This window comes from Homo sapiens, chromosome 13 (assembly GCF_000001405.40).
Source record: "Homo sapiens chromosome 13, GRCh38.p14 Primary Assembly".
In the NCBI taxonomy this organism is placed as follows: Eukaryota; Metazoa; Chordata; class Mammalia; order Primates; family Hominidae; genus Homo; species Homo sapiens.
In genome coordinates this window covers 32,528,559-32,551,890 of record NC_000013.11, presented here as the reverse complement: position 1 = coordinate 32,551,890, position 23,332 = coordinate 32,528,559, and the positions used below count along the sequence as shown (strand labels likewise).

General features: G+C 39.5%; 1 protein-coding gene across 69 annotated transcripts in view, besides 5 other annotated features; it reads left to right on the top strand.

Annotated features, from left to right (window-relative positions):
• Window positions 12,748-12,907: an enhancer, noted in NCBI's record as "active region_7562". NCBI's record gives its function as "activates an Ori minimal core promoter by ATAC-STARR-seq in GM12878 lymphoblastoid cells {active_cell/tissue: GM12878}" and the evidence as "EXISTENCE:reporter gene assay evidence [ECO:0000049][PMID:35858748]".
• Window positions 12,748-13,361: a biological region, named in NCBI's record as "H3K27ac hESC enhancer GRCh37_chr13:33112667-33113227".
• Window positions 12,801-13,361: an enhancer, noted in NCBI's record as "H3K27ac hESC enhancer chr13:33112667-33113227 (GRCh37/hg19 assembly coordinates)". NCBI's record gives its function as "activates a minimal SCP1, AML or CMV promoter by ChIP-STARR-seq in naive H9 embryonic stem cells {active_cell/tissue: H9 hESC(naive)}" and the evidence as "EXISTENCE:reporter gene assay evidence [ECO:0000049][PMID:30033119]".
• Window positions 12,938-13,187: an enhancer, noted in NCBI's record as "active region_7561". NCBI's record gives its function as "activates an Ori minimal core promoter by ATAC-STARR-seq in GM12878 lymphoblastoid cells {active_cell/tissue: GM12878}" and the evidence as "EXISTENCE:reporter gene assay evidence [ECO:0000049][PMID:35858748]".
• The window catches only part of N4BP2L2 (NEDD4 binding protein 2 like 2), a 106,384-nt gene continuing 96,074 nt past the window's right edge, over window positions 13,023-23,332 (top strand). For 18 of the 69 annotated variants that reach the window (NR_170385.1, NR_170384.1, NR_170382.1 and 15 more), the window contains exons 1-2: window positions 13,096-13,208; window positions 14,864-16,122. Coding sequence is in view for 35 of the 69 variants with exons in the window: in NM_001387005.1 (NP_001373934.1) it covers window positions 14,864-16,122 (1,259 nt within the window). In the remaining 34 variants the exon portion in view is untranslated. Of the gene's footprint in view, window positions 13,274-14,863; window positions 16,123-23,332 lie in introns of all 69 variants that reach the window. The other 51 variants (NR_170380.1, NR_170388.1, NR_170381.1 and 48 more) reach the window with 14 other exon arrangements.
• Window positions 13,362-13,921: an enhancer, noted in NCBI's record as "H3K27ac-H3K4me1 hESC enhancer chr13:33112107-33112666 (GRCh37/hg19 assembly coordinates)". NCBI's record gives its function as "activates a minimal SCP1, AML or CMV promoter by ChIP-STARR-seq in naive H9 embryonic stem cells {active_cell/tissue: H9 hESC(naive)}" and the evidence as "EXISTENCE:reporter gene assay evidence [ECO:0000049][PMID:30033119]".

Below are 23,332 nucleotides of genomic sequence, written 5' to 3'. Positions count from 1 at the left end.
TGGAGAAGAATGTGGTGAAGTGTTCTAGAAGGTAGCACCAAACCTACCCACTATGACCTCCTCAGCACATCCACATCTCTGTACCCACCAGGATCCCCTACAGCTCATCCCATAGTAGCCAGAAAAGTTCTGGACACATTTATAATCCTTAAGCACCCATTGGTGTTTTCTTGTGACAGATTTTTGTTTTGTTTAATTTTTTTTTTTTTGAGATAGAGTCTCACTGCAATGCCCAGGCTGGAGTGGAGCACAATGGTGCGATCTTGGCTCACTGCAACCTCCGCCTCCCAGGTTCAAGAGATTCTCCTGCCTCTGCCTCCCGAGTAGCTGGGATTACAAGCGCCTGCCACCAAACCCAGCTAATTTTTTTGTATTTTCAGTAGAGATGGGGTTTCACCATATTGGCCAGGCTGGTCTTGAACTCCTGACCTCAAGTGATCTGACCGCTTTGGCCTCCCAAAGTGCTGGGATTACAGGCATGAGCCACCATGCCTGGCCTGTTTTATTTTTGAAGTAGTGTCTTGCTCTATTGCCCAGGCTGGAGTGCGCTGGTGCAATCACAGCTCACTGCAGAGTCCCTCTTGGTCTCAAGTGATCTCCCAACAAGCCTCCCAAGTAGCTGGGAATACAGGTCCATGCCACTATGCCTGGCGAGTTTTTAAATTTTTTGTAGAGACAGGGTCTCACTCTATTGCCCAGGCTGGTCTTGAACTCCTGGGCTCAAAGGGTCCCCCCACTTTGCCCTCCCAAAGTGTTGGGATGACAGACGAGCCATCACACCCAGCCCTTGTGACAGCTTTGATTTTCATGTAAAGGTGTACCTGCTGTCTTCCTTTCTCCATATTTATTATACATGCACTATATGCACTATAATCCAAAAATCTTATTTTATTATAATTTAAACATCCCAGTAAATATTCAAGATTTTAGTATAATTGTTACTTAAAATTCATAGTACATAGCATTTTATGTGCATTTTGCACAAGTATATTACTATGGAGATTTTTAGCCCTGTGGCAATAAAAAATATTGCAAAAACCTCAGCTTCTATAATCTACATTCATAAATGATGGGTTCTCCACACAGAAAACTTTAAAATAACTAACATATAGTTTGCCAGACACTATTGTAAATGCACTACATATTTGATTCATTAAATCTCCTGAGCAGTCCTGTGAAGTAGAACTATTATCATTTCCATTATACAAGCTAAAAAACCAAGGCTCAGAAGGGTTTTGTACTTTGCTGAAGGTCATATACCCAGTAGGAGGAAGAGCCTGAATTTGAATCCAGGCAATCCGCCTTTGGAATCCACACTTTTAGCCATAAATGATACTGATTCTAAACTTAAAGTAGAAGTATGTCTTGCAGAGAATAAGTGAATAAATATAACTTTAGGAGGATTTGCATGTGTTCATGTTAAAAATAGTATAATAATTTTCATCCAATCACTATAAAACAATGCTATAGAATAGAATTGAACTTGTAAAAATGCATTTAATATATTCTTGTAACAAGTCAAAAATACAGAGATACATAAAGAAAAAGTTAATCATCTCCCTGCCAGTCCTCACTGCACTAAACTCCTCTCGAGGCAAGCTCTGTTTATGTCATGGAATGTCTACTTCCACATCACTGTTCAAGTTTCTACAAATATGTATACACATATATGATGTTTCTTCTTTGCTTCTTCTTTTCCTTTTCCTCCTTCCTTTCACAAAATGAGATTACACCATACATTTGCCATTCCAGTCCTTTGGTGCTGGGAAGTACATTTCACCATGATTTGATGACCAACTTCTTTGTAGAAATTCCCTCTTCTGATACTTGTGTTGGGCAGAAGTCAAGGACAAATGAGGCCTGCACACCTGACAACCTGGGCCTTCCAGCGGAAACTGACAGGGCTGAGATAATCCTGTGGCCATTGCTGTGGGGGCACTGTAACTGCACAGGAGAAGGGACATTGCTGTGACACTGTCGAAATGTGAAACCTCTGGAATTGTCCTCTTGGTACATTTTGTTTCCCCTATAATTGTTAACAGGAAAATCCATAAAACAAAGACACTTGTGTATTTACCCTTTGGAGCACGGTTCTCTGAGCTGAAAATGGGGTGCACGTTCAGGAAGCCAGCCCAATTTGTGGTGTCCAAGAATGGGCTGGAAGAAAACCGTCATAAGCTTGTCTTTTGATCAAATGAAAATACTTTTCATGTTTACTGATGATTGATAATTTTTCCTGCTTTTAAGATTCTCATTCTCATGACATTTAAGGAAAAGTGTGAAATTCAATTCTTAAGAGTAACTTATAACACATGCCTCAAGGCAAAGCCTCCTTGAACAGTGTTTATCTTCTTTACTGCTAGGAGTTGGAGGCGGCTACACTCTGTCAACCATCCTGTGAAGTAAAATATCAGAAGAGACACCAACATCACTGCCTTAAAGACAGTAGAACCCCAAGATTTCCTGGACTGGGCAGCCTCCTTATCCCCTTATCCAGGAAAGTTAACAGAAAAGACACGTTAAGAGAAGAAAATATTCTCTAATAATCTCTGCAGCAATTTTTTCCCCAATGTTTTCAGCTAAAAAAAATTGTTAAATGTAATCCTTTTTTTTTTTCATTTAGTTTCCTTCAAAGAATTTTCTTTCTATTCAAGTACTTGAAAATATCTATTTTTCTATTACTGGATCTCCCTATCACTATGACTTTGTAAAAAAAATTGGGTAAAATACACATAAAAATGTTAACATCTTGATCATTTTTAAGTATACAGTTCAGTAGTGTTAAATACATTTCACATTGTTGTGCAACCAATCTCCAGAATTTTTATCTTGTGAAGTTGAAATTCTGTACGTATTAGGTAACAACTTCCCATTTCCTCCTTCCCGCAGTCCCTGGCAACTACCATTCTACTTTCTGTTTCTATAAGTTAGGCTATTTTAGGCAGCATTTGTCTTTTTGTGACTGGCTTATTTTACTACAATGCCTTCAAGGTTCATCCATATTGTGGCATGTGATAAGATTTCCTTCCTTTTAATTTAATTTTTGATATAAGGTCTCACTCCATTCCCCAGCCTGGTCTCCAACTCCTGGGCTCAAGTGATCCTTGTGCCACAACCTCCCAAAGTGCTAAGATTTCAGCATGAGCCACAGCGTCTGGCCTCCTTCCTTTTTAAGGCTGAGTAATATTCCATTGCATGTTAATAGCACGTTAGGTTTACACATTCATCTGCCAATGTGTCCTAGGGTTATTTCTACCTTTTGTCTATTGAGAATAATACTGCTATAAATGTGGGTGTTCAGATATCTCTGTGAGACCCTGTTTTCTACTCTTTTGGGTATATACCCAGAAGCGGAATTGGATCACATAGTAACTCTATGTTTCATTTTTTTGATGATGCACCATGCTATTTCCCACAGTAACTGCACCATTTCACATTCCCACCAATAATACACAAGGGTTCCAATTTCTCTACATCCTCACCAACACTTGTTATTTTCTGGGTTTTTTAAAAATTTTATTTTGATAGCAGCCATCCTAATGGGTGTGAGGTGATATCTCATTATAGTTGTGATGTCTGCTGAGCATCTTTCCATGTTCTTATTGGCCATTTGTATACCTTATTTGGAGAAATGTCTACTCAAGACCTTGCCCATATAAAGACATACAAAGACCATGGGCAAGTATGACGACATAGTCAAGACCTTGTGCATTTGGAGATATTTCTCCAAAGAAACTATACAAAATTATATATATATATATATATATATATATTTTTTTTTTTTTTTTTTTTTTTTTTTTTTTTTTTTTTTTCCTGTCATCCAGGCTGGAATCCAGTGGCATGAGCTCAGCTCACTGCAGCCTCTACCACCCAGGCTCAAGCAAATCCTCCTACATCCCACCTCAGCCTCCCAAGTAGCTGGGACTACAGGCACGCACCACCACACCCTGCTAATTTTATTTTACTTTTTTTGTAGAGACAAAGTGTCTAAGTTTCACTATGTTGCCCAGGCTGGTCTCAGACTCCTGGGCTCAAGAGATCCTCCTGCCTTCCCTCTGAAAGTGCTGGGATTACAGGTGTGAACCACCACGCCCAGAGTTGTCCATGTCTTAATCAAATTGTTTGTGTTGTTGTTCTGTTGCTATTGCTGAGTTGTAGCAGTTCTTTATACATTCTAAATATTAACCCTTTACCAGATATATGATTTGCAAATATTTCTTCCCAAATTTCCATGGGTTGCCCTTTCACTCCGTTGATTGTCCTTCAATACACAGAAGTTTTAAATTTTGATGTAGCCTAAGTTACCTATTTTTTTTCTTTTTCTTTTTCTTTTTCTTTTTGAGACGGGTCTCACTCTGTCACCCAATCAGGAGCGCAAAACAGGGTCTCATTCTGTTGCCCAGACAGGAGTGCAGTGGCACGATCTCAGCTCACTGCAAACTCTGCCTCCCAGTTTCAAGCGATTCTTGTGCGTCAGCCTCTCAAGTAGCTGGGACTATAGGCGCCCACCACCATGCCTGGCTAATTTTTGTATTTTTAGTAGAGATGGAGTTTCACCATGTTACCCAGGCTGGTCTTGAGCTCCTGAACTCAGGTGATCCACCCACCTTGGCCTCCCAAAGTGCTGGGATTACAGGTGTGAGCCACTGTGACCAGCCCCTGTTTTTTTCTTTTGTTGACTGTGCTTTTAGTGTCATATCTATGAAATCATTGGCAAAACCAACATTATGAAGCTTTTCACCCAAATTTTCTAAGATTTTTGTAATTTTAGGTCTGATACTTAGGTCTTTGATCTATCATTTTTTTATTGTGGTGAAATAAACATAACATCATATTTATCATTTTAACCAGCTGTAAAAGTGTAATTCAGCTGTTGCTATCACTTTTTAACTCTTGGGATCTCATCCTTGGGGGAATAAATTATAAAGTTTTGGTTGTCTGTCATCTAAGCAATGATAAAATCAATCATCTATCAAATGTGAACAGGTTATGCCTTTTAGGATGGTAAGGCCATGACACCTCAGATAAAGCAAAGCAGCCAAGAGCACAGACAGATAGCCCTAAAATCTTCTGCCAAAGCCCCATCTCTCTTCGTTATTTTTATTGTGAGCTGACCACGCAAATTTATTAACCCAATTCTTATGATTATTTTTTGATAGACAACAGTTGCCTTCAGTTGTTAGAATCAAGTAAAAAAACCTTCTCCCGGCAACTTTGAGAGCAAGTTTCTGTCTCACTTACAGATATATCAAACATTTTTGTTTAGCAAGCAGGCATGGAATAGCTTATAGAGCCTACTTAGTAGTAAGCCTGATGACCGTTCTTTGTCCTTTTAGTACTCTGACTACTATGTTGCATGAAAGGTTCTTTTTAGGCAGATGTTATAGTTTTCATGGTTGACATCAGACAACCAGAATTCCTACTGACTTATAGTTGAATGTCATCTCAACAGGTGTGGGCTACAGTCTTCATTCTGTTCTTATCATTTGTTCAGTAAAGGGAGGGAGTGTCTCCAAAATATTTTAACTTGAATACCTTTAATTTCACCAGTGAGAATCCATTTCTTATGTCCTTCATGATATTTACAAGCCATTAGTTTTGAAAAGTCATTTATGACATTAATGAGCAAAGTAGTGTTGATGGAGGTATAAATAGCTAAAGGGGTGGTTGTAGTCCCTCTGGAACACAGTCTTTTTGATATAAAGCTAGCTGACTCTCTCCTGCTCCCCATATAAATGACTGATTAGAATGCTAGCTGCATCTACCATGTGCCTTTAACACACATTTATATACGATATTGTCTATATAAAAAATTATGTATCTGTTATATTACAGACGTCATAACAATCTCATAACCATGCTATAAAAAAACCCACTTCTTACTCACAGTTAAACCTTACTTTAATGAGGCTTCCAACTCCCACCATGCCGTGGAAACTGCCCTCACTAATGCCTGCTGTGAGCTCCTCACCTCCAGTTCCTTGGATTCCTAGTTGTCCCCCTCTCCCTGGGGCATTTAACGCTCTTGGTCATCACCTTCTTTTTGATACTTTCACCTCCCACCTCTCTGTTCTTTTTTGCAGGTTCCTCTTCTTTCCTGCTTGTTCAATATCGATGATCTTGAGAATTTTTATCTCAGTCTTCTAGTTTTCTTAGGTAATCTTCATATTCTCCTTGAATCAGTCTGGCTAAGCCTAAGGCTTCAACTAGTTCTTCCACACTAAAAACTCCCAACACCTCCATCTCCAACCCCTCTCTTAAATCCAGACAAATCCCCAACACTACCATTTGGTGATCTTCCAGGCAAATAATATGTACCATGTACAAAACTGAATTCATCAATACTTATCCCCCTTTACTCACTACATGGCCCATTTCTCTTGCTAGCTTTTCTTTTCCTACTTAATGACACCATGGACTTAGTCCATTTTGTGTTGCTATAAGGGAATATCTGAGGCTGAGGCTGGTTAATTCATAGAGAAAGGAAGTTAATTTAGCTCACATTTCTGCAGTCTGTACAAGAAGCATCTGCACAACTTCTGGTGAGAACTTTTGTACTGCATCAAAATACAGCAGAGAAAGTCAAAGGAGGAAGTGGGCACATGCAAAGATAGACCAAACCTCAGGGGGCATCCTGGCTTTAGTTATTTATTTATATATTTATTTATTTATTTATTTATTTATTAGATGGAGGATCGCTTTGTTGCCCTGGCTGGAGTACAGTGGCTTGATCCGGGCTCACTGCAGCCTCTGCCTCCCAAGTTCAAGTGATTCTCCTGCCTTCACCTCCTCAGTAGCTGGGGTTACAGGTGCCTGCCACCATGCCCAGCTAATTTTTGTATTCTTAGTAGAGATGGGGTTTCACTATGTTGGCCAGGCTGGTCTTGAACTCCTGACCTCAGGTGATCTGCCCACCTTGGCCTCCCAAAGTGCTGGGATTACAGGCATAAGCCACCGTGCCTGGTGCCACCTCAGCCTCTTAAAGTGCTGGGATTACAGATGTGAGCCATCACATCAGGCCTCCCAACACCATTTATTGAAGAGACTGTCTTTTTCCCTATTAAGTGTTGGCTATTTGTATGTCTTCTTTTAAGAAATGTCTGGTGGGGCTCGGTGGCTCACACCTGTAATCCCAGCACTTTGGGAGGCCAAGGCGGGCAGATCACGAGGTCAAGAAATTGAGACCATCCTGGCCAACATGGCGAAACCCTGTCTCTACTAAAGATACAAAAATTAGCTGGTCATGGTGGCACGTGCCTGTAATCTCAGCTACTCAGGAAGCTGAGGCAGGAGGATCACTTGAATCCAGGAGGCAGAGGTTGCAGTGAGCCAAGATCATGCCACTGAACTGCAGCCTGGGTGATAGAGCAAGACTGTCAGAAAAAAAAAGAAAAAGAAACGTCTAACTAGATCCTTTACCCATTTTTTTAAATGGGATTGATAAATCTTTTTTGTTTTATTTGTTTGTTTTTGCTGCTGTTTGTGTTCCTTGTATATTCTGGATATTAGTTCAATTAAGTCCCACTTGCCTTTTTTTAGTTTGTCCCCTGTGTTTTGAGGGTTTAGCCATAAAATCTTTGCTTAGGCCAATGTCCTGTGGTGTTTTCCCTACGCTCTCTTCTAGCAGTTTTATAGTTTAAGGTCTTATGTGTAGGTTTTCAATCCACTTTGAGTTGGCTTTTGTATATAGCGAGACATAGGGGTGTAGTTTCATTCTTCTGCATATGGATATTTGGTTTTCCCAGAATCATTTATCAAAGAGGAAGATGGCTTGAGCTCAATGTATGCTCTTGGTACCTTTGTCAAAAACCATTTGGCTGGCCAGGCGCAGTGGCTTTTGCCTGTAATCCCGGCACTTTGGGGAGGCCATGGCGGGTGGATCACTTGAAGCCAGGAGTTTGAGACCATCCTGGCCAACATGGCGGAACCTTGTCTCTACTAAAAATACAAATATTAGCCGGGCATGGGGGCATGTGCCTGTAGTCCCAGTGACTTGGGAGGCTGAGGCAGGAGAATCACTTGAACCTGTGAGGTGGAGGTTGCAGTGAGCTGAGATCACACCACTGCACTCCAGCCTGGGTGACAGAGCAAGACTCTGTCTCAAAAAAAAAAAAGAAAAAAAAAAAAATCATGGCTGGCCATGGTGGCTCACGCCTGTAATCCCAGAACTTTGGGAGGCCAAGGCAAGTGGATCACGAGGTCAAGATTTGAGATCAGTCTGGTCAGCATGGAGAAACCCTGTCTCTACTAAAAATACAAAAATTAGCCAGGTGTGGTGGCGCACACCTGTTATCCCAGCTACTTGAGAGGCTGAGGAGGAAAATCGCTTGACCCCAGGAGCCAGAGGTTGCAGTGAGCCAAGATCATGCCACTGCACTCCAGCCTGGGCCACAGAATAAGGCTCTGTCATTCTGTTTGGCTATGAATACATAGATTTATTTCTGGGTCTTCTATTCTGTTCCATTGGTCAATGTGTGTTTTTGTTTGTTTGTTTGTTTGTTTGTTTTTTGCCAGAGTCTCCTTCTGTCACCCAGGCTGGAGTACAGTGGCAGGATCTCAGCTCACCACAACTTCCGCCTCCCAGGTTCAAGTGATTCTCCTGCCTCAGCCTCTTGAGTAGCTGGGACTACAGGTATACACCACAATGCCTGGCTAATTTTTGTATTTTTAGTAGAGACGAGGTTTTGCCATGTTGTCCAGCCTGGTCTTGAACTCCTGACCTCAAGTGATCCTCCCACCTTGGCCTCCCAAAGTGCTGGGATTACACGCATGAGCCACCGTGCAGGCCAATTTGTCTATTTTTATACCAATACCATATTGCTTGGGTTATTATAGCCATGTAATATATTTTGAAGTCAGGTAGTATGATGCAAAACTTTGTTCTTTGTTCTTGTTGCTCAGGATTGCTTTGGCTCTCAGGCTTTTTTTTGTGATTTCATGAGTTTCTGTATTGTTTTTTTCTATTTCTGTGAAAAAATATCATTGCAATTTTGATAGAGATTGCATTGAATCTGCAGATTTCTTTGGGTAGTATGTTCATTTTAACAATACTAATTCTTCTAATCCGTAAGAATTTATTTGTGTCATCTTCAATTTCTTTCATCAATATTTTATAGTTTTCAGTGTACAAATCTTTCACCTCCTTTGTTAAATTTATTCCTAAGTATTGTATTGTAAAGATCAATGCATAGGGGTAGAGTAAGGTGAGTAGACACCCCATTTTAGGTCATTGTAGCTATTGTGAATGAGATTTTATTTTTCTTCAAATATTTCATTGTTAGCGTATACAAATGCTACTGATTTTTGTATGTTAACTTTGTACCTTGCAACTTCAGTTAATTTGTTTCTTAAGTTATGGCACAATTTTGACATATCAAATATTTTAAGCTGAAGTATCTGAGAAATGGCAGGTGCAAGAAGGGCTCTTTGACCTTCTCCTGAGGCAAGTCATAAGACTCTCATGTGAGAGATGCCCTTCCTCTTTGTGGAGAAAAGGAACAACCTTACTTTTGAAAATACAGGGACACCAACAGGAATGTAAACAAGCCTGGCTAATTTCCCCCAGTTTACTACACTTAGCTCATACCTCCTTCGTCCTATCACATTTTTCTATGACTCCTCTCTTCATCAAACCTTGTATAAAACACTCAGGTTTAACTATTTTTTCAGGTCTTCATAAACTTATGAAGGTTTCTATGTCGTCTAAAACGTATGTTAAATAAATCTGTATACTTTTCTTTAGTTACAGAGTTTCAGCTGAGAACCAAAGGGTAGAAGCAAATTATTTTTCCCTCCCCTACAATATTCCACCCTAAAGGAGAAGGAGCAGAACACCCTATCTTAGTATCTTTGTGCTCCTACAAAAAGTAGCACATTCTGCTGGGCTTGGCAACTCATGCCTGTAATCCCAGCACTTTGAGAAGCCAAGGCAGGAATATTACTTGAGGCCAGGAATTCAAGACCAGCCTGGGCAACATAGTGAGACCCTGTCTTTACGAAAAATACAAAAATTGTCTGGGCATGGTGGTACTTACCTGTAGTCCCAGCTACTACTTGGGAGGCTGAGTGGGAAAGGTCGTTTGAGCCCGTGAGGTTGAGACTGCAGTGAGCTGTAATGGCACCACTGTACTCCAGCCTGGGTGACAGAGTGAGATCCTGCCTCAAAACAAACAAACAGACACCCTAGCAGAAGTGGCAAAAAAAAAAAAAAAAAAGAAAGAAAGAAAAGAAAAGAAGAGAAAATAAAAGAAATAGCAGAGACTGGGTAATTTACAAGGAAGAAAAATTTAGCCTGGGCAACATGGTGAAACCCCATCCCTACAAAACACACAAAGATTAGCAGGGCATGGTGATGCATGCCGATGGTCCTAGCTACTCAGGAGGCTGAGGTGGGAAGATCACCTGAGACCAGGAGGTTGAGGCTGCAGTGAGCCGTGCTTGTGCCACTACATTATAGCCTGGGTGACAGAGCAAGATCTTGTCTCAATAAATAAATAAAAATAATAACAAATAACAAACTTATTTCTCACAGTTCTGGAGGCTGCGAAAAACATCAGACAAATCCCAATATAAGAGCATGCTACAAGATACCTGATCAGTTTTCCTCAAAATTGTCAAGGATGGCCAGGCGCTGTGGCCCACACCTGTAATCCCACACTTCGGGAGGTAAGGGCGGGTGGATCGCTTGAGCGCAGGAGTTTAAGACCAGCCTGACCAATATGGTGAAACCCCGTCTCTACTAAAAATACAAAAATTAGCCAGGCATGTTGGTGGGCGCCTGTAGTCCCAGCTACTCGGGAGGCTAAGGCAGGAGAATCTCTTGAACCTGGGAAGCAGAGGTTGCAGTCAGCCGAGAAGGTGCCACTGCACTCCAGCCTGGGCAACAGAGCGAGATTCTGTCTAAAAAAAAAAAAAAAAAAAGTCAACGTCATCAAAAATAAGCTTAAGATATTAAAAAATAAATTTAAGAAATTGTCGCAGCCAAAAGGAGCCTAAGGAAACATGATAACTAAATGTAAGGTGGTATCCTGGATAGAACCCTTGAACAGAGAGGGCATTTAGGTAAAAATGAAGGAAAGTTGAATAATGAATAAGTTATATAACTAATATATAACTGATATGTAACTTAATGTTACATATTATATGTTATAATAAGTTATAACAAATTAATGTTAAAGTATCAATGTTAGGTCATTAGTTGTAACAATGTAAGAGGTTAGTAATAAGGGAAACTGTGTGTGTGGGGGGGTGGGTACATGGGAACTCTACCATTTGCTCGATTTTTATGTGCATTTAAAACCATCCTAAAAATAGTCTATTAATAGTAAATAAGTAAGGAGAGCAATGGAGTATAACCCCCTGAAGAAAAGGAATCCATAAATTCATACTGATAGTGAATAAATAAATAAGTAGGGTTCTGCTCTATAGCAGCATCTGGATTGACAAATGTGGAAGGCTTGAAGGAGGTGGGGAAAAAAAATCCCGACATTTATGGAATCTGAACCATAAGGTAAAGTTTGATTAGGTGCAGGATATTTGCTTCGTCTCAAAGTTTAACCTCACAGATTGCTTATTAGTTTTTTGTTGTTGTTGTTTTTTGGTTTTTGGTTTTTTTTGAGATGGAGTCTGGCTCTTGTCACCCAGGCTGGAGTGCAATGGCCTGATCTCGACTCACTGCAACCTCCGCCTCCCGAGTTCAAGCGATTCTCGTGCCTCAGCCTCCCAAGTAGCTGGGATTACAGGTGCCCGCCACCATGCTCGGCTAATTTTTGTATTTTTAGTAGAGATGGGGTTTCATCATGTTTGCCAGGCTAGTCTCAAACTCCTGCCCTCAGGTGATCCGCCCACCTCAGCCTCCCAAAGTGCTGAGATTACAGGTGTGAGCCATCGCGCCCGGCTGCTTATTAGTTTTAAGGGGGAAAATATGCCATGGAGAAACAGGACAATACCTTGATGGGGTGACAAAGATTAATATTATCTTATAATTAGTATAGTGTGCCTGCGGATGTAACACACTGAGAACGCCACAACCTCACGTAAATGTGGTTGTTTCAAAGTAGGATGCATGAGTTTAATTATGAGGAGACAAAGGTCGTAGTAGAAATCTGTATTTGAGATAGATTTCTTTCTGAGAAGATGGGTTGCTTTGGTGAACACTCTTGATCACAAGGCTGTTAGTTAAATAATCAAATGTATATATTCCAGACTGTAACTTTAACAACAAATGAAATTGTTATCACGTTGGGGATGGAAAAGGGTACATATCCATAGAAAGAATTATTTAAATATGAAGAGATGGTAAGTTTTCCTTGCAAGGACCTGAAATTATGGGGGATGGGGAACCAATGGAGGGAGGAGGGGTTGGAGAGGTGGTGGGAAGAGAAAAGGAGCCCTCAGTTGAGGACTGCCAGTTGTTTGGTTTGTATTTATTTTTAATGCAACAAACACTTACATAGCGCTTATTCTTACCAGGAGCTCGCTGTTCTACTTGCTTTGCACGTATTGACTCTTTTAATGGGAAAGCTCAGTGATTGGTCTGTATTTCCAAAAACAAAACAAAACAGCGACCTGACACTAAACGATTTTGTTCATAAGTATTTTTATCTGTTATTGGGGACCTGCGCCCCAGTAATTCTGTCCTTCCACAGAAAAGCATGAGCCTAAAATTACGTCAGGTGGTCTTTCGTAGAAACGACCGGAATGCAAATTTGTGGTACCAACTGTGGAGTTCCGTTGGAAAAGTCAGCTGGTTGTCTTCTAGAAAGCTCTAAGAAGCATGCACTGAGAGCCGATTATACATCTATTGGGGGGCGCCAGTTTCTCAAATTCCTTTTTCCTTCGGGGGTGAACGCCAGAGGAGGTCGCTGCTTTCTTTTAACGAAAGTTGGTGTTTTTAGATAACTTCCCTGCTCCAGATCTAGGAACTAATTCCGGTCTACTTTTGTTGCCAAATTACTGCGTTTGTCACGCCATGGATTCTGGGAGACCTAGTCTCCGTGCCGTGAGGTTTACGGAGCCGGTGTGAACGTCGGACTTCAATTCCCACAATGCCTGGCGCAAACGCCTAGTTTTGGCCTGGGTAACCGAGAGGTGACCGCCATCTTGCGTACGGAGGTGAGGTTTGTTACCGCGATTCTGAGAGGTGGGCTTTTAGTCCCTCCAGACCTCGGCTTTAGTGCTGTCTCCGCTTTTCTTTCACCTTCACAGAGGTTCGTGTCTTCCTAAAAGAAGGTTTTATTGGGAGGTAAAGGTCAATGCGTAGGGGTAGAGTAAGGTGAGTAGACACCCCGTTTTAGGTGAGGGTGGGGCGGTGGTGGTGTTTTTCGCTTTCACTTCTTGACTGGACTGTTTAGATTAGCTGTAAACGTAGACGTAAGCTCTGTGTGAACTTTTGCGCCTCAGAGACCTCCAGAATTCCTGGACAGGACCTGAGCGTGTCTGCACTGGGACAAAAAAGCTGGGTGACGCACTTTTGCCCGGGTCGCTCACTCTGGAAGTCTGGAGGCATGGGGCTCGGATAGTGTATAGATCACGCGGTTTATTAACGCAACCCGGTTGCTTTTCTTCGGGACTTTTCTGACACATTTCGAATGAGGAAAGGAGAAACCGAGAGGAGGCCTTTTGGCGTTCTCCGCAGTTGTCTTCCTCCAGCTCTGTGGCCTGCTTGCATCATTCTGTAGTTCGCCTTTTTGTCCATTTCTCTTTCTCTCGTGTTAGGAACACCAGAGAGTGGCACAACGAAGAATTGGGTGGAATAGGCCTCTGGGCTGTACTTTGAGGTCCCTAAGGCATTTCAGGGGAAGTAACCGCCCCCCCCCCCCAAGACGGGGTCTCCCTCTGTCGCCCAGGCGGAGTGCAGTGGCGCCATCTCGGCTCACCACAACCTCCGCCCCCCCCGGGTTCAAGCGATCCTCCCACCGCAGCCTCCCGAGTAGCTGGGACCACAAGTGCGCGCCCCCATGCCCGGCTAATTTATTGTATTTTTGTTAAGAGACGGAGTTAGGCCATGTTGCCAGGCTGGTCTCGAACTCCTAAGCAGCAATCCGCCCGCCTCAGCCTCCCAAGTGCTGGGATTACAGGCTTGAACCACTCTGCCAGGCCTAAAGGGAAGCAAATTTTATCTTCGTGATAGATTATTCGGAAAAGATGAACGCTTTGAACTTTGGGAGTTGCCAGATTTCTTTATTATACAAATTTCCGTTATCATCATTACAACTTAAGTTATCTCTTCCCCCCTTTTAAATGAACACACTATACCCATTTAGGAACCTCTTTTATGCTAACTACTCACAGTTAAGGGTCTCCAAAGACTGGCACTTCAGTTAATCTAACATTTGGATGCTAAGGAGATTGGTTGTCTGAGGTTTGGGAGAGAATTGGAGCTATTTACTCTCAAAAACACAGTGGTTTTAAGTAAGGAAAGCTTAGGATGCAGTGTATCACAGCCATTTTGAGTATGTGTTAATTTGGTGTTGGCGGTTTCACTCTCCTTTTAAATACACAATTGTGTATCTATATCATAAAAATATATATTACTGATTCAACTTTACAGACATACTTAAATCTTTTAGGTCTTCTAAATTCAGAAATGGATCGTTTAAAGTTGAGAGAGATATATATGTATATATACATATATATATATTTTTCAAAAAGGATATTCAACGAGATCCCTCCCATAAACCACCATGTTGTGACTGTACTTAAATAATAAGTGGTTATGAAAGTGACTGGTATTTTGGGAAATTGTTACCATTAAATATATCACAAATTTAAATGTCTTTGTCTAATTTCTTGTTTTTGAAGAAAATTTTATTTAGATTTTTAATATATTAGCTAGTAATTGTATGATTTATTTATTTCTCAGATGTCTTATGGTGAAATTGAAGGTAAATTCTTGGGACCTAGAGAAGAAGTAACGAGTGAGCCACGCTGTAAAAAATTGAAGTCAACCACAGAGTCGTATGTTTTTCACAATCATAGTAATGCTGATTTTCACAGAATCCAAGAGAAAACTGGAAATGATTGGGTCCCTGTGACCATCATTGATGTCAGAGGACATAGTTATTTGCAGGAGAACAAAATCAAAACTACAGATTTGCATAGACCTTTGCATGATGAGATGCCTGGTAATAGACCAGATGTTATTGAATCCATTGATTCACAGGTTTTACAGGAAGCACGTCCTCCATTAGTATCCGCAGACGATGAGATATATAGCACAAGTAAAGCATTTATAGGACCCATTTACAAACCCCCTGAGAAAAAGAAACGTAATGAAGGGAGGAATGAGGCACATGTTCTAAATGGTATAAATGACAGAGGAGGACAAAAAGAGAAACAGAAATTTAACTCTGAAAAATCAGAGATTGACAATGAATTATTCCAGTTTTACAAAGAAATTGAAGAGCTTGAAAAGGAAAAAGATGGTTTTGAGAACAGTTGTAAAGAATCTGAACCTTCTCAGGAACAATTTGTTCCATTTTATGAGGGTCATAATAATGGTCTCTTAAAACCTGATGAAGAAAAGAAAGATCTTAGTAATAAAGCTATGCCATCACATTGTGATTATCAGCAGAACTTGGGGAATGAGCCAGACAAATATCCCTGTAATGGACAAGTAATACCTACATTTTGTGACACTTCATTTACTTCTTTCAGGCCTGAATGGCAGTCAGTATATCCTTTTATAGTGCCCTATGGTCCCCCTCTTCCCAGTTTGAACTATCATTTAAACATTCAGAGATTCAGTGGTCCACCAAATCCACCATCAAATATTTTCCAAGCCCAAGATGACTCTCAGATACAAAATGGATATTATGTAAATAATTGTCATGTTAACTGGAATTGCATGACTTTTGATCAGAACAATGAATATACTGACTGTAGTGAGAATAGGAGTAGTGTTCATCCCTCTGGAAATGGCTGCAGTATGCAAGATCGATATGTGAGTAATGGTTTCTGTGAAGTCAGAGAAAGATGCTGGAAAGATCATTGTATGGACAAGCATAATGGAACAGACAGGTTTGTGAACCAGCAGTTTCAAGAGGAAAAGTTAAATAAATTGCAGAAGTTACTTATTCTTTTAAGAGGTCTGCCTGGTTCTGGGAAAACAACATTGTCTCGGTAAGTAAAGGATACCAACTGAATACTTGGTAATTCATTATTTAAAAATTATAAATGATATTTGTCGCCGGCTGCAGTGACTCATGCATGTAATCCCAACACTTTGGGAGGCCAGGGTGGACCAGTCACTTGAGCTCAGGAGTTTGAGACCAGCCTGGGCAACATAGTGAGACCCTGTCTCTAAAAAATGAAATAAAAATGTTAGAACTATAATGATACTTGTAATCACTGACAAGTGCTTTTATGTTTCTAGTAGAAGAAAATCTTTAATTTGCTACACTTGAGAATAGCATCTGACAGTGTAACTATTTAAAAATCTTTTCTGATAGAAGAAAGGAGAATTGGCATATGTTTATATTTAGATTCTGCTAAGGGCTTTAAAAATAGATAACACTACGTATAATTATGGCAGTGATGAAAGCAAATGCTACTTGAGAACTGTCCTGGCCTACCCTTTTGAGTCAGCTGTTCAAGGAAAGTTGGACTCAGTGTTAGAAAATTTGAGTTTTTCAAGTTCAGTTGGAGGTGAGAAAAAGAGAAAATTTGGGTATTGACTCAGTTATTTCCCTTTTTCACCTTGGGCAAGTTTTGCTCTCTGTTAATGGAATAAATGATACTTACTTTTTCTGGAATTGGGAATCAAATGAGATGACCCAAGGAAAGGAATTTTGAATGTGTTGAGCACTGTGCCATGTTCATACCATTGATTGGCAGAAGGAACCCTTTTTTGATTTCTTAAAATTCAGGAGTTTGAAGTGAGTAATATCTGAATTGGTGTTAGAACTGTTGGTGGTTTATTGTATTACAAGATATTTCAAATTCCTTTTTTTGTTTACATTTTTAAACTATTGATGCACTTGAATATGTTTATGCAGTTGTGAAAAAATAGTGTAAAGAAAGCAGTACAAATTATCTTGAGTTTATATAAGATGATTCAAGATTTGTGCCGGACAAGGAGAAAAAGAAAATTTGTTGATATCTTTGGGTGAGGATGGAGAGGTCCAAGAAACCATTTTGCAAATGTTTTATATTACTAACAAGACAATCTAAACCTAAATAAACATCTTTTTCAGAGAAAAGACACTAGAGAAAGATTTAATTTGTGATATTTCAAGCTAGATTATAAACTGTGATCTTTGTGAATGAATTAATTCATTCCAGAATTAAATTTTGGTCTTTGTATTTTGATTCCTTTTACTTTAGTGAGGATTTTGTAGAGAAGATGAAATTTCACCTCTATAATAATAGAAGTTAGGAGTGAGGTCTCACAAACATGGGCTGTCTTCTAGATTTGGGATATACCATCAGAGACAATAAATAACTGAAATTTGGAAACTGGATAAAAGAGTCTGCTAGTTAGGACCACTTGACTAAGAGTGGGTATAGAAGAAACCTAAGGAAGAAAAGTTAGATTTGAGACAACATATTGGAGTATGTTGAAATTAAAGGTGAATAAAGTAGTGGAAATTCGATAGAATTTAAAGGAGACATTGTAGTGGGAGATGGTAGAGGTGATTAGATATAATATGTATATTTATTTGAAAAATAGATATATAAGAATGAAAGTTGTATGTAGTACCAACAAGTACCATTCGTATTATGATTCACAATTTACAGAGTATTTTCATATATAAAAATCTTGTGCAATGGGTTGTTTTTTCATTTTATAGAAGGAGCAGAGGCTAAAGGAAGTTGAGGTTAAGTGATTTGGAAGTTACAAAAACTAGTAAGAGCTCAAACTAGCAATAAAATTATAGTATGTTTTTCCCTTGCCTTCACTGTAATGCTTAATGGTTGTGTAGTCTTATACGTGACTCCTGACTTCAAGGATCCTGGTCTGTACCTCTTTAGGTCAACACGTTTTGAGTGAACTGGTGTTGGTTATTTGGAATTAGATATAAAGTCATATATTCTTTGGTGAGGAATGGCTTCATATAGGAGTTCACATTCAAAACAAGCTTTGACAAAATAATAGAGTGAAAATTGGTAGATCAGAGTTGAGCTGATTGGAGGACCAAATTAAAAGACTGGCTGGGCATGATGGCTCACACCTGAAAACCCAGCACTTTGGGAGGCCAAGGCAGGCAGATTGTTTGAGCCCAGGAATTCAAGACCAGCCTAGATAACCTGGGTATCCCAGCTACTTGGGAGGCTGAGCTGCCGAGGCTACAGTGAGCCATGATCGTGCCATTGCTTTCTAGCCTGGGTGACAGATTGAGACCCTGTCTCAAAAAAAAAAAAAAAAAAAAAAAATTAGTAATGCTTATGTTTGGTATGTGGTAATGAGTGTAGGCAGTTGGATAGAATTCATATTCTTTGGAGGTAGTGTTCAAGTCCCCTTCTTACTTAATTTGGTCTTTGCCCACATCTCAATCAGCATGTCTCTAACATTGTAAGTATTCAAGATGTCGGATGATATTCTGAGAGAGAGAGACAGTAGGCCATAATAGCCTTGGCCATAGTTTTGGCCCATAGGGTGTTTATGGGTAGGATAGCCCGATAAAGATGTCACTTTTCCCCCTAATTGATTTATAAATTCAGTGAAACTTTAACCAAAATCCCAAAGGAATTTTTGTATGAATTTGAGAAGCCTATAAAGTTTGTTTGGTATGTAACTATAACAAGGACAGTTTAAAAAAACGAGACTTATCCCACCAGCTATTAAAATTTAGAAACTACTATAGTTAAAATTTTGCAATTATTAGCAAAAGAACAAATAGATAAAATTAGAGAACCCAGAAACAGGCTAGGTGTGGTGGCTTACACCTGTAATCCCAGCACTTTGGGAGGCTGAGGTGGGGAGCATCACTTGAGGCCAGAAGTGTGAGATCAGTTTGGGCAACATAGACCCTGTCTCTATTTTTTTTTTTTTAAAAAAAGGCCGGGTGCCGGTGGCTCACCCCTGTGATCCCAGCACTTTGGGAGGCTGAGGCAGGTGGATCATGAGGTCAAGAGATCGAGACCATCCTGGCCAACATTGTGAAACCCCATCTCTACTAAAAATACAAAAATGAGCTGGGCGTGGTGGCATGTGCCTGTAGTCCCAGCTACTTGGGAGGCTGAGGCAGGAGAATCGCTTGAACCCGGGAGGCAGAGGTTGCAGTGAGCCGAGATCACACCACTGCACTCCAGCCTGGGCAACAGTGCAAGACTCTGTCTTAAAAAAAAAAAAAAAAAAGAAAAAAGAAAAGAGAATCCAGAAACATAACCTACATATAAAAGAATTTAATATTTGATGAAATGACATTTTATATTAGTAGGGCAAAATATTCAATACATGGTAATAGGATATTTGATTGTCAGTCTGGAAAAATATTTAAAGCCCCTATCTTAAATCATTCACAAAAATAACTTCTAGATGGATAAAGGACTAAGAGTAAAAACAAAACCAGCAAGGAAACTGGAAGAAAATAGAGGTTTTTAAAAGTAATTTGAGAGAATGAGTAAAACAGTGGGATCTTTCTTACCCCCTAATAAATGAAAAGTGAGGGAATTTAAGAAATTAGTTTTTTGTTGTTATCATCTGTTTTACAGATTATTGTGGATATTTGCAATGGTAGGCTGAATAATGTACCCCTCCAAAGATACTCATGTTTTAATCCCTAAAACCTGTGCATATGTTGCGTTAGATGGTAAATTGGATTTTGCAAATTTGATTAAGGATCTTGCAATGGGGAGGCTGTCCTGGATAACTGGATTGGCCCAGTGTGATCACAAAGGTTCTTAATAAGAGGGAGGCAGGAGGAATTAGTCAGAGAAGGGTTAAGACCAAAAGCAAAGGTCAAGAGAGAAGATGCTGCACTGCTGGTTTTGAAGATGATGGAACATCCCATAAGCCCAGGTGTGCAGCTAACCTTTAGAAGCTGGAAAAGGCAAGGAAACATATTCTGTAGAGCCTCCAGAAGGAACACACGTCTGCACACACTTTGTTTTTAGCTCAGTGAAACTGATTTTGGACTACTGACCTTCAGAACTGTAAGATAAATTCCTGTTGTTTTACGTTTGTGGTGTTATAGAAGTTACAGAAATGAATATACTTACCGTAGTTTAGAGAGAGATGGGAGGAGACTTTTTTTTCTCCCTTCTTTTGAAGGAGGTAGGTCTCCTTAACTCCAGAGGAAAGACTTGTCTTTCTTCATATAGGTCCCTTGATTCTTAATTCAGGGAGTGTTTAGAGATTGAATTACCCCAGTAAAGTAGTCTCAGGATAGGAAGTATATAAAGGCACTCAGTAGATAAGGAGGAAAAGTGTTCATGATGTGTCAGTTTTACTTAGATTTTGTATTTTTCTTGAAAATCACTTGTAAATGCACATGAAAGTATTAAAGTAATGCTCAGTTCTTAGAAATTTAAAAACCAAACCATGAAAATGGACTCTCTTGTAGGCCTTGTTTTGGGAACAGATTCTCTTGGTTTACTTGTTTCTTACGTGAGAAATTATAAGTATAGAGTACATTGATTACTCAAGGCTGTATAACAGGTTACCCTAAAACTTAGTTGTTTAAAGCAACAAACATATATTGCCTCGTAGTTTCTGTAGGTCTGGACTCTGGTTATAGTTACCTGGGTGCCTTTGGTTCAGTGTCTCTAAGAATGCTGTGATCAAGATGTTGGCTAGGACTGTTTCTGGTCTGAAGGCTTGATTTGGGAAGGATCTGGTTCTAAGAGCTCTCTCAAGATTGTTGACAGGACTGAGTTCCTTGTGAGCTATGTTGGATTGAAGACTTCAGTTCCTTGCTGGCTAGAGACTGGAGGCTTCTCTCATTTCTTTGCTACTTGGCCTCTGTCCATTCACAAGACAGCTGATTTCTTTCAAAGTGAAAGAGAAAGCATGCAAGCTCAAGTCTAAGACAGAAGCTACTTTTTTTTTTTTTTTTTTAGTAATCTCCGAAGTGACATCCCATCACCTGTATCATATTCTGTTCCTTAGAAGCTAGGGACTAAATCCAAGCATACTGCAGGATAAGAGGATGCAAGGTTGTGAGTACCAGGAGGCAGGGATCATTGGAGGCCTTTGGTTTTGGGGTCAAGGAGGTGCTTTATCTTAGTTCTCCCACTACCATCTAACTTGCCAAAATTATTTCTTCTCCTGGATTAGTTTATTATCAAATTGGCAGGCTTTTATGAGGATTAAATGAGGTCATAGATTTATGTAAAATGTTTGACATAAAATAGGCTCTCAAAAAGATAGCTATTGTTTTGAAAAAATAGAAATCAAGTGGCCAATGAGCCCAGATTTGATTTTTTTAAATTAGATATTTGACTTACTCACATTTCTAAATTTTGACATTCTGAGAATCCATTTTAGTACCTGACTTGAGAGTTCTGACAGTCTAAGAATTTTGAAAATACTGATGTTCTTAAATAATTTATTTTTGCTTTAGAGGCTTGATAAGACATTCAGATATTCCTAGATTCATATAGGTGTTTTTTTAAGTCCATAAAATAAAGCTTCATGGTTTGAAGTAATTCACGGAATTTGAAAAATATGCATAAACAGTCTATGCTGCCTGGGAGGAAAAGTCTTTTCAAGTTAAACTTATTTACTATAGTTATGATTTATATATTTAAGAAAATGTTCTTTATAGAGATTTGTTCATATGTATTGTTGACTTGTTTTAATGATATAAATTGGTGTATTGCTCCCCCACCTTTTATTTTGAGAAAATTTAAACCGTTTTTTAGATACAAAAAATATGATTGTCATGTAGAATGATATTATTAACATCTTAAAAATCACCTGTGCCGGGCACGGTGGCTCACGCCTGTAATCCCAGCACTTTAGGAGGCTGAGGTGGGAGGATCACCTGAGGTCAGGAGTTCAAGACTAGCCTGGCCAACATGGTGAAACCCCATCTCTAATAAAAATACAAAAATTAGCCGGGCGTGATGGCACGTGCCTGTAGTCACAGCTACTCAGGAGGCTGAGGCAGGAGAACCACTTGAACTTGGGAGGTGGAGGTTGCAGTGAGCCGAGATCACACCACTGCACTCCAGCCTGGGCAATAGAGTCGGACTCTTGTCTAAAAAAAAAAAAGAAAAGAAAAGAAATGACCTGCTAATAAAGTAATAGAATGGAAAAAACAAAACAAAACGAAACAAAAAAAAAAACAAAAAAGGAAGCATAAAGTATCTAGACAAGGTGTTATCTGGATTTCTGGTACTGTTGAACATAATTAGATGTCACATGATCAGTTACAATCAAAATCTCTTTTTGGGTGATTGAGTTTTGCTTTAGAATGCTAATATCATGGCATTTTCATATTCTAGGTTATCTGTATAAGCAGTAAGATGCCAAATATGTCAGATAGACATGTTTTGGATAAATCATGGCTGCTTGAAAAAGAAATCCAACTCCAGTCTCCCAAAAAGCAAACACACAACCCAACCCATTAATTTACATTTGGTTTGTCTGAAGTGATTTGAACTGTAATTCTGTAAGTGGAAATAGAGGTTTGTGCAAAAGTAATCACAGTTTTTAATTGGCATTTTAATGGCAAAAACTGCAATTACGTTCACACCAACCTATACATACTTAAATTGTTTTCTTTTGATACAAGTGATTTTATAAAATACACCACTGGCCCTCCATATTTGTTGATTCCACATCAGTGAATTCAACGAACTTTGGACTGAAAGTATTTGAGAAAAAATATTGCATCTGTATTGAAATGTACAGACTTTTTTCCTTGTTATTTCCTAAACAATACAGTATAACAACTATTTACATAATATTCACATTGTAGAGTATTAGGTATTATAAATAATCCAGAGATGAGTTAAAGTGTATGGGAGGATGTGCATAGTTTATATGCAAACAGCCATTTTTATATCAAGGGCTTGAGCAGCAAGTGTGGTCCTGGAACCAATCTCCCATGGATATTGAGGGAGAGAACTGTATATGATACCATTATAAGCTGAGGGATGGAGAGATGACACTTGTCATCTTAATAGTTTAAACCCTTCCTACTATTTTTTTAGTGAGAGGTAAGTAAGCTTGAATCATTCCAGGCCAATATTCTTTTACTCTCAATTCCTTCTATTAATATACCACCTTCCATCCCACCAATCCCCTCAAAATTATACAGTGATATCCAAATGCCTAATGGTTCAAGGAGAGGAGAGAAACAACAAAATACTCTCGTTGTTGTTCTTGGATCCAAATCATTATCTTGCTGCATTTTCCCTATCATAGCACACTCCCAATTTC